Source organism: Homo sapiens, chromosome X (genome assembly GCF_000001405.40).
Source record: "Homo sapiens chromosome X, GRCh38.p14 Primary Assembly".
NCBI lineage: Eukaryota > Metazoa > Chordata > Mammalia > Primates > Hominidae > Homo > Homo sapiens.
In genome coordinates this window covers 64,431,799-64,442,990 of record NC_000023.11, presented here as the reverse complement: position 1 = coordinate 64,442,990, position 11,192 = coordinate 64,431,799, and the positions used below count along the sequence as shown (strand labels likewise).

The 11,192-nt window shown below is 42.2% G+C and overlaps 1 pseudogene; it reads right to left on the bottom strand.

Moving 5' to 3' along the window:
- On the bottom strand, window positions 7,317-10,808 carry SHC1P1 (SHC adaptor protein 1 pseudogene 1; annotated as a pseudogene).

Sequence of the window (11,192 nt, the reverse complement as noted above, 5' to 3'; positions counted from 1 at the left end):
AATATCTTTTTCTGCCCCTTTACCTTAAGTCTATATGAGTCCTTATGTGTTAGGTGAATATCTTGAAGACAGCAGATTCTTGGTTGGTGAATTCTTATCTAGTCTGTCATTTTGTACCTTTTCAGTGGAGCATTTAGGTCATTTACATTCAACGTTAGTATTGAGATATGAGGTACTCTTCTATTCTTCTACTCATTGTGTTATTTGTTGCCTGAATACCTTGTTGTTGTTGTTTTTATTGTATTATTGTTTTGTAGGTGTTGTAAGATTTGTGTTTTAAGAATGTTCTATTCTTGGGTATTTCAAAGATTTATTTTAAAATTTACATCTGCTTTTAGCAGTTCTTGTAGTGCTGGCTTTGTAGTGGCAAATTCTCGCAGCATTTGTTTGTCTGAAAAATGACTGTATCTTTCCTTCATTTATGAAGCTTAGTTTTACTGGATACAAAATTCTTGGCTGACAATTGTTTTGTTTAAGGAGACTAAAGAGAGGGCTCCAATCCCTTCTAGCTTGTAGGATTTCTGCTGAGAAATCTGCTGTTAATCTGATATGTTTTCTTTTACAGGTTACCTGATGTTTTGCCTCACAGCTTTTAAGATTCTTTCTTTCATCTTGACTTTAGATAACCTGATGAATAGGTGCCTAGGTGATGACCTTTTTGTGATGAATTTCCCAGGTGTTTTTTCAGCTCTTGTATTTGGATATCTGTATCTCTAGCAAGACCAGGAAAGTTTTCCTTGATTACTTCCTCAAATATGTTTTCCAAACTTTTAGATTTCTCTTCTTCCTAAGGAAAACTAATTGTTCTTAGATTTGGTCATTTAACATAATCCCAAACTTCTTGGAGGCTTTGTTCATTTATTTTAATTATTTTTTTCTTTTTTCTTTGTTGGATTTGGTTAATTCAGAAGCCTTTTCTTTGAGCTCTGAATTTCTTTCTTCTGCTTGTTTGATTCTATTTCTGAGACTTTCCAGTGCATTTTGCATTTCTTTAAGTGCGTCCCTCATTTCCAGAAGTTGTTACTGCTTTTTGTTTATGCCATCTATATGTTTTTAACCTGCTATCTCTCTCTGTCTCTCTCTATATATATATAGAGAGAAAGTGAGACATATGCTATCTCTCTGTCTCTCTCTGTACATATATATACATATATGTATATATTTGTATATCTATCTGTAGATATATATCATATACATGTACATATATGTATATCTATCTGTAGATCTATATATCATATACATGTACATATATGTATATATATGTACAGAGAGAGAAAGATATAAATCTCTCTATGTATATATATATATATATATAGATATCTCTGTATGTACTTTGATATACATATATATCAGTTACTCTGCTGAGCACAAGGGTCCTGAGGGAATAAGACCCAGGAAAAGCAAATTTTGATAGGATGTGAAGGTAATGGAAATAACGCATAAAAAGATATTTTATGCAAATGGAAACTAAAAGTGAGCAGGAGTATAGAGATAGATAGATAGATAGATAGATAGATAGATAGATAGATAGATAGACAGACAGACAGATGATAGATGGATAGATAGACAGATGATAGATAGATAGATAGATAGATAGATAATAGAGAAATTCTCACTCTACAACCCAGGCTGGAGTGCAATGGCACAATCACAGCTGACTGCAGCCTTGAATCCTGAGTTTAAGCATCATTTTGCCTCAGCCTCCAAAGTAGCTGGGACTACAGGTATGTGTCATCATGCCTGGCTAATTTTTATTTTAATTAATTAACTTATTTTTTTGAGATGGAGTCTCACTCTGTCACCCAAGCTGCAGTGCAGTGGCACAATCTCAGCTCACTGTAACTTCCACATCCTGGGTACAAGCAATTCTCCTGTTTCAGCCTCTTGAGTAACTGGGACTACAGGTGCACCACCATGCCTGGCTAATTTTTTTATTTTTAGTATAGACAAGGTTCATCATGTTGGTCAGGCTGGTCCCAAACTCCTGACCTCAAGTAATATGCCTGCCTCAGCTTCTCGAAGTGCTGAGATTATAGGTGTGAGCCACTGAGCCCAGCCCAGCTAATTTTAAAATTATTTTTTGTAAAGATGGAGTATCCCTATGTTGTCTGGGCTGGTCTTGAACTCCTGGGCTCAAGCAATTCTTCCACTTCAGCCTCTGAATGTGCTTGGATTAGGATCCTAAAAAATATTAATTCATTGATTCATTCAACAAATATCTACTGGTCATTTATTATGTGATTGTGGAGAGGTGAAATAGTGAATGAGGCAAACTAATTTCAACTCTTCTCATGCTATCAGCCTGATAGAGAAGGATGACCAATGACCAAGTTCTTTGAATATCTGAAAGACAAGTGCAGGGTGCTTAGGAGCATATCCTGGATGGACCTAACCTAGTATGAATATTCTTTGAGGGTTTTCTAGAGAAAGCAACTTTTCTAATGAAATCTGAAGGCTGAGAAAGCATCATCAAGAGACACCAGAGGGCAGATGTAAAGGAGGGAGAGAAAGAGGGGTTCAGGCAGAGGGAAACATATGCGCAAAGCTCCCTAAGGTATGACTAAAGTGTACAGGAAAGGACTGTAGTAAAAAGTAAAGTTGAATAGGTAGATAGAACCTAACGTTGCCAGGCTTTTGTAGGCTATGGTGGGGTTTTCTGTTTTTATTCTAAGGGTAAGTGGAAGCCCCGAAGTGTTTTAGGTAAGAGAGTGCCATCAGATTTGCATGTTAAAAACATCATTCTAGCTACTTTGTGGAGAATAGGCTGGTGGTGGGATAAATAGCCTGAAGGAGGAGACACTAGCTGGAAGGTGAAATTAGGAATGAGATGAGGGTGACATATATTAGTGTAGTGCAGGTGGCAATGAAAAGAAAGTGGACAGACTTTCGAGAGACTTAGGAAATATAATAAACAGCACTTGGTGACTGACGATGAGTGGTGGTAGGTTTGAAAGAGAAGGAGTAGTTAAAGATGATCGCCAAGTGCCTGTCTTAAGCATTTGGGAAGATGGTGGTGAATTTCTGAAGAGAAGAAATACTGAAATCATATAGATCTTATTGTAGTCACTTCTATCCCCTACTGTCTTTCCATTACCCTCATATCCTATCCAAATTTGGTTTTCCTGGGTATCATTTCCTCAGGACCTTTGTGCTCAGCAGAGTAACTGACTAGAGCTAAGTAATATTAATTAGTGCCAATGAGTTAATATGCCACCCCTTATAGAACTGACCTTGGCATTTTGCCAATAGTCTTTTGCAGAGGATGCTTTTATTAAAAGAGGCAGTGTGGAAAATTGAAAACTGATTTGCAGATAAGAAGGTTTTTTTTTCCCATCAAAGGGTGAAGTAATCTATATCCCTCTGGTAAGTAACAGTAGGCCAAACCCAAAAGGACCCAAGACTCGGATACCGCTTCTAACCTCTTTTTTTTTTTTTTTTTTTTTTTTTTAGTACATCTCTGATTTGGCCCAAATGTCAGGAAGACTGGGACTCAGTGGAAAAGCCCACGTCTATCCCATTCTATCCCATTCTATCCCAGCTGATGGTATGCTGGAACTCACCTATGCTAGTGGGAGATAATTGGTAAATTTTCAGGAATTTCATGACTAATTGGCATCATCTTGTAGCTTGAAATTGGCCGCAGTAGAAGAATTTACATCACAAAAACTGGTAAATGCTACAAATTAGGGCTTCTGTCCTTTAGACAATTTGTTGTTAAACATTTATTAGCACACCACTGATTTCAGTCCTGCTGAAATGACTCTGTTGTCTGGGGTATATACCCTGGCTCTCGGTCAGTCGAGAAGGAATTCAGGACACAGACACACATGAGGAGTGGGTTTAGAGCAGAAGGGTTTAATAGAAAAATAAAAGAGAGAGAAAAAGCTACCTCATGTTGAGAAAGCCCAAAAGAGAACGTCAGAGTGGAAAAAAGAACTCGCTGGTGTGAATGCGCTGAGTTTTATAGTCCAGTTTGAGGAGGTGGTGTCTGATTTACATGGGGCTCATAGATTGGTTCGATCAGTTATGATGTCTACATAGTGGGTGGGGAAGGCTGGTTGCCCCACCCTAATCTTATTATGCAAATGAGCATTCCAGTTGATTGGCACCATCTTGTCTGCTTCTTACTGTACACGTCGCTAACAAAGAGAAGGGAAGATGGAGGCGCCATCTTGAACATGATTGGCACAACTTCTGGTATCTATGTCTGTAGCTCAATTTTACAGGCTGCTCTTTGTTAAAAAGGAAAATAACTTGGGGCTGCTTTTCATTAAAAAGAAAAGCCTTACCAAGGATTCCCATACCCTTACTATCTGCCTAAGTAATTTATTCTTAGCTCCTATATCACTGCCACAGACTAACCATGTGGCTTCTCTGTCTGCACTCACATCTTTGTTAACTTCATCCATTCTTGTGATTTTAAATACCATATATATTCTGAAAGCTCCCAAATTGATATCTCCAATCCAGACATATCTTCTGGATGCAAAACCTATATAGCAGACTTGTATAACCAACTGCCTATTTAAAATTTTTTATTTTCATTTGGATGTCTAATAGTCATCTTAAACTTAGCATGACTTAAACTGACCTCCCAATCTAAAATCCCCTCATGCTCCCCACCACAAAATTTCCCCTGCTTTCTTGTCCATTTTAGCAAATGAAAAATTCCTCCAGTTGTTAAGGTCTGAAACCCTGGTGTTATTGAAACTGCCTTTGCAAAAATATGACAGTAAGAGAAATCTGACATAGCTGACTCCATCTTGTGTCTAGCCTCACAAGTTGGCTGTCTTTGCTCATTCCTGGGTGTGGGCCAAGCTAACTTTGGGATAAATTTAGTTTATAGTTTAAATGATAAAAACCTTTCGCAAAAACTAAACTGTTTAAAACTAGTGAAAGGACACCAAGTTAGGAGAGTGAGGGAAACCTGAATTTTAAATAATTGCCAGTCATTATTCTGGAGGTCATAAGATTTTCAACTTCCTCAATTACTCTTGAAGGTAACATCACTATTATAGAACCCAAGAACTGCCTTTTGAGATGTCTTTTCAGATTTTTGCATTTTTGACAACTGGATGCCTTCACCACCAGGACGCACCAACTAGTCCTGTGGCCTCCACCCAGGAGCTGACTCAGCATAAGATATAGGTAAGGCACTCCTTAACTCCAACATTTAAAATTGTAAAACTTCCCCCACTCTGCTCCAGTACTCCCTGTTTACCTTTTCTGTTTCTTTTTTTTTCTTTCTTTCTTTCTTGGAACTCATCATCATCTGACACATTGTGTATTTCATTTATTTTGTGTACTATCTATCTCCCAGGTTAAAATGTAAGTTCCATTGAGAGAAGAGACAAAGAGACCCCCCATATTGTTTTATAGTATTTTATACTCAGTACCTATTTTAAGAAGAAACAAGGAAGCGAAACCAAAGGCAGGCAGCCTGGCACCAGGCACCAGACCCAAATTCAGGCCTGGGCCTGCCTGACCTAACCTGGTAGTTAAAATTCAACCAATGACCTAGCAACCAATGTTATCCATAGATTCCAGACATTGTATGGAAGGACATTGTGAAACTTCCCATTCTGTTCTGTTTCACTCTGATTACTGGTGCATGCAGCCCCTGTCACTTACCCCCTAGATTGCTCAATCGATTATGGCCCTTTCATGTAAAATCTTTAGCGTTGTGAGCCCTTAAAAGGGACAGAAATTGTGCACTCAAGAAGCTCAGATTTTGAGACGTTAGTCTGCGGATGCTTCCAGCTGATTAAAGCTACTTCCTTTACTACCTCAGTGTCTGTGGTGTTTTGTCCGTGGCTCATCCTGCTACACCATGACAGCAGGGTTTGTTTTTTTTCTCCTATTTTGCTTACTATTGTGTTGTCAGTGCTTGCAACAGTGCTTGAAACATAGTCAACACTCAGTAAATATTTGAAAGAATAAATAAATACATTTTCTAATATCACTTACTACATAATACTGTAATTTATCTCTTCACACTAAGTATATAATAGGCACTCAATGAATATTTGTTGAATTAATAAATAATAAAAGTCTTTTATGAACCCTAAAGCACTCATACAATGCTTTATCTTATGAAACCTGAAAATTTGAAACAGGTCTCAGTTAATTTAGAAAGTTTATTTTGCCAAGATGAGGATGCTTGTCCATGACACAGCCTCAGGAAGTCCTGATAACATGCACCCAAGGTGGTCAGAGCACAGGTTGGTTTTATACATTTTAGGGAGACATGAGACATCAGTCAATATATGTAAAATGAACATTGGTCTATCCAGAAAGGTGAGACAACTTGAAGTAAAAGTGGGGCAACTCAAAGCAGAGAGGGGGCTTCCAAGTCACAGGTAGATGAGAGAAAATAGTTTCATTATTGTGAGTTTCTAATTAGCCTTTCCAAGGAGACAATCAGATATGCAGTCATCTCAATGAGCAGAGAGATGACTTTTAATAGAATGGGAGGCAGTTTTGCCCTAAGCAGTTCCCAGCTTAAATTTTCCTTTTAGCTCAGTGATTTTGGGGGCCCAAGATATTTTTCTTTCACATTTTCCCCCTTTTCTTTTGAAAAATCTTTTAGAGAAAGCATATTAAAAGAAAATGAGTCTTTGGTCTCCAGTTTCATCTGATCTCTTATGGCTAGGATGTTTTATTCCTAGAAAGGTAGGCCCCAAGTTATTAGGAAAGCTCATTTTTAGAAGGTTTTGAAGTCTCATGTCCTGTGAAAAGAAAATAGGGGTAAAAAAGGGAGGAAAACAACAACAAACAAAAGAACAATCCTGGAAAATCGATATAGGCCACATAGTCTGAAGTTCATACATCAGTAGCCAGATATGAAAGTCACTTATGTATGTATATAGGACTATTATTTTCTTCTGAAGTTAAGTTTTCTAGCTTCAGTATTCATGGCTTTATGAAAGCACAGCTTAGTTTTCAGTAATTTCAAATTAGGAAAAATGGGGAAAAAGGAAAAAAATAAAAGCATTATTTTGCAGTTTTATAGTCAAGAAAAATTAGAATTTGGTTCAAACTGTAGAAAATAATAAAAATTAAAAAAATTAGGCAAGGCTAGACTCTAACAACAAGTGTACTACAGTTTTTGAAACAGAACTTTTCTCTCTTCAGTTTTCCATTTTAACTAAAGACAAATTATGGTAGGACTGGTTAGCTTTATTATACTTGGCCTAATTATTTGTATACAGTGCAGCAAGAATAATTATTTTTTACATAGACTTGGGTTGACTTTGATGAAACTTTGTTCCATAGAAGGAATCTCAGATGAAACTTTTTTTTTTTTTATTTCTTTAAGAAGAAATACGGACTTTAATGAAGAGTTTTCCTTTTGGTATAAGTGAGACCATGGAAACATCCAAACAACAACAAAAGGAGGGCAGGATGAAAACAGTGAACTCTCCATTAACCACAAGGCCAAAAGAGCGGGGTCTGTTTGCTGTGGTGTGGCCACTCCAGGCCTAGGCTGTTCCAGGCCTGTAGAAGGTACTCATTAATTGTAGGTTTGCATTTATCATCCGTGAAACTGACAGGCATTCAGGCAAACTTCTGCCTCTCAGCCTCGCAGTAAGAGGCCCAAGGTTTTCTAGTCCTAGCTGGAAATCAATTTCATCTGCCTCAGGTCTCTGGTATAAAAGATAATGCTGCCGGTCCCAGTTACCTCACAGGCCTGGGTGAGGAAAATGCCAAGAGCTGTAAAAGGGCTCAGAAAAGTCAAAAAGGTGATGTATAAATGTAATAATTGATTATCATTTTGTGCTCAAGAATAAGCCATGGAAAACAAAATTAGAAAAGTAAGTCTACAGCCCTAAAATATATGCATATAAAATTTTAAAAGAATGCAGTTCCAACTCTACAGATAGTATTTGGGGATTGTCTACTGCTTTAGAGTCTCAATGCCCCTTTTCCTACCTCCACAAAATCCACCTGGGAGCATTAACTGTACAAGAGGCCCAAATTCAGTCACCCCCACCCCCCTCCCAGAAAGGGAAGCAGGGCAGAGGCTCCAGGAGGGAGGGCTACACTTTGGCTGTAGAGTACAATAGGCATGCAACATGGGAGGGTGGGCCTTATGAAATGTATATACACACGCCTTGGGGTGAGGGCACCCCCCCCCCGGCCAGGAGGCACTGAGCAAGGGAGGGATCCATCTCCTCCCTGGCCAGGAGAGGGCCCTGGGGCAATCTCTAAGGGTTACATATCCCCAGGGAGAGGAGACAGCTGCCACTCCTGCCTCTGTTCTCCCAACCCAAACTGGAGAGGGTGCTGAGCAAGGAGAAGACAGGTCCCAGAAACCAAGAAGGTGTTGGCATCCCTGTCATTGAACTCAAGGTCCCAAAAACTCTTTGCATAAAATATCTTCAGACCTAAGAGATGGTCAAAGGCACAAAGTTTAAACATGGGGGTGGGGGTGTTGAGAGGGGTCTGGAGTACCCTGAAACCCAGAGGTGTGATTCGTTCCCCCTTGCCCAGAAGGGTGACTGTTCCACTGGGCCTATCACCACAGGACATTTTCCATGACAAGCACTCACCTTCTTGGGGAAGGGACATCAGGTTGGCACAGAAAAGGCCCAGGTAAGGGGCCACTCTGTACATTAATACTTTGATGATTGATTAATGCTTGGGGAGAAGCAGTATTCTCCCCCAAGTTTCTGACTCAAACCCTCTCACTCAGCTGGATATGAAACCCAGTGTCCACACTACTCCCAGCTCTGACACAAAGCCATGCCCACAGAACACTCCCAACTGAGGTCCTGAGAGTTAGGGAATAGGGTGGAAAGGGGTTGGAGGGCATCTTCTGGAAGAGAGCGCTGGGGCAGATCACAGTTTCTGCTCCACAGGTTGCTGTAGACACAATTCACTGCCAGCAGAGGTGATGGGCAAGTGATTGTCCATGTGGTAGCTGATGAGGTGACTGACACTCTCAAAGCGGTGATCCTTTGTCCGAACTACACCCTCAGGGTCCACCAGTAGCAGATGCTTGGACTCCCCACTCTGCAAGCCAGTGAGCACATACTGGCCAGGTGTGGTCATGCTCTCCTGCACCAGGAAGTCCCCATTGAACTGCAGCAGTGCCTCAGCCCCCTGCTAGCTCAGCTTCCCTTGGAACCAGGGTCCCCTCAGAGCTGCTTAGCCATGGACACCAACTGGGGAAGAGGAGGCATGTGAAGAGTGTCTTCAAAGGGCTTCATGTCAAACAGGTCTCAGGGTGTGCTGCCATTGATGGCAGGATTGGGGGTCCCAGCACCACCCCCTGCTTGCCGGGCCTTGTCTAGGTTCTGCACGTTGACATTGGAGGGATCATCAAAGAGCTCTCTGCCTGGACAGGGTGGTGGAGGTGGCATCTATTTGCAAACTTCTGGATCTCCCCCAACAGACTGTCCTACAGGCAGTGTAGATCCCAAGTGGCTGGGGGTCTGGGCACTGGGTGGAGTGGGTCGAGCAGCCCCTGGAGTGGCTCCTTCCCGAAGCCTCATGTATACCACATGCCAAAGAGGGGATTCCTTCCCAGGAAGTCATTATAGTGCTGATGGCCAGGCGGCTCTTCCTCCTCCTCATCCCAAGCTAAGCCATCAAAGCCAGTCATCCTGTCATGGGGGGTGACCAGTTTGGGTGGTTTTCTGAGGTATTGTTTAAAGTGCAACTTGAAGGCCTGGCCAGTGGTGCTGATGACATCCTGAGCAAGCCCTTCAGGACACTCCAGAATGTGGCATGCTTTCTGACTCACAGGGTCTTTGGCAACGTTGGCGACATACTTGGCTGTGTCCGGATCCCCACTGGATGCAAGTGAGATAGATTGCATATGGTGGTTAGTGATAATCTGTTTGCAGTCTGCAACCATGACGTTGAGGCTGCTGGTGGAGATGGTGAGAGTGATTGTCATTGCAGCAAATTTCAGGTTACTCCTTCCCAAGATAGAGCTGAGTGGATGGTTACAGGGCTTTCTCCTCCTTGTCACCCCCTTGGCACCTGGCACAGCCTCACACACAAAACTGATGGCCTCCCTGGTGACCTGAGTCCAGGTGTTGAAGTCCAGGGCACTCATTGACTGCAGGACCTCCACACAGCCCATGTACCAAACCAAGTAGGAAACCCCAGGTCTCGTGACTTTGTCATTGGGATGCAGCTAGCCCCACATGGGCTTATTGACAAAGCTCCCATGGCGGGTCCACTCCTCACCCCCCAGCTGGCCCCCTTCCACCTGAGTCCTGCACCCACCACCTCCACTCAGCTTGTTCATGTCCTGGAGGAGGGGTAGGGGAATGAGTCTGGCATGGTTGCCCCTACAATGCCCTCCCCATCATTGGCTGCCCTTCCTGGCTCCCCATTAGGCCCCAGGTGTCCCCCGGCCCAATTGGCCAGCCTCAGGTTGCTCATCCAGGGGAAGAAGGAGCACAGGGTAGTGGGACTATGGTTCCCAGGCAGAGGGGGCAGGATGGGCCCCAGGGATGAGGCTGATGGGGAAGGCAGCTCCTCTGGTGGGGTGGACCCTGAAGGCCCCTCCTCCAGCGATGACAGAGACTCATTCCACAGTGGATTGCACTTGGACTTGGGGGGCAGGAGATTCATAGCTGAGGTAAGAGAGGGGCTGCTGCTCAGCCTGGCCCCTCTGTCAGTTTGGGCAAGGAGGCCAGGCAGGGGGTATGCCCAAGCCCTTAGCCTGATCGGACCTCTGTGGCCCAGGAGTCACAGAAGTCCTGGGGAATGAGAGGGACAGGTGGTTTCTGCTCCCCAGCTCACACCCAGACAGTTTTGGGCCCCATCCCCACCCAATGTGGAGCCTCTTCCTCAGATAAAACTTTTTAAGCTGAGCCCAGCCATGGATTTGTATCATCAAATACCTATAAGTTGGGTAAGTTTCCTCTCCTCTTGAGGTTCCAAGATAAACCTGGGGCTCCTGGACCTGTCAGAAAGTGGCATTCTTTAACTACCACAGGTCAGAAACCCTGTACAAGGGTTGTGTAGACAAAGGTATGAGGGCAGTTTTGATTCCTTAAAGTAAAGCACACTATTCCAGTCAAAGCCCTGGTAAAATAATCAGCTTCTCCAATTGTGTCCTGTTGCAAATGAAAACAGATTCTTTATGCAAATAATTGTATTGTCATAAGTTAAGAATACTTAAAAATAGTTTCCAAATCCTGGAGAAATCAGGTAGAGAGAAAAAAATATGC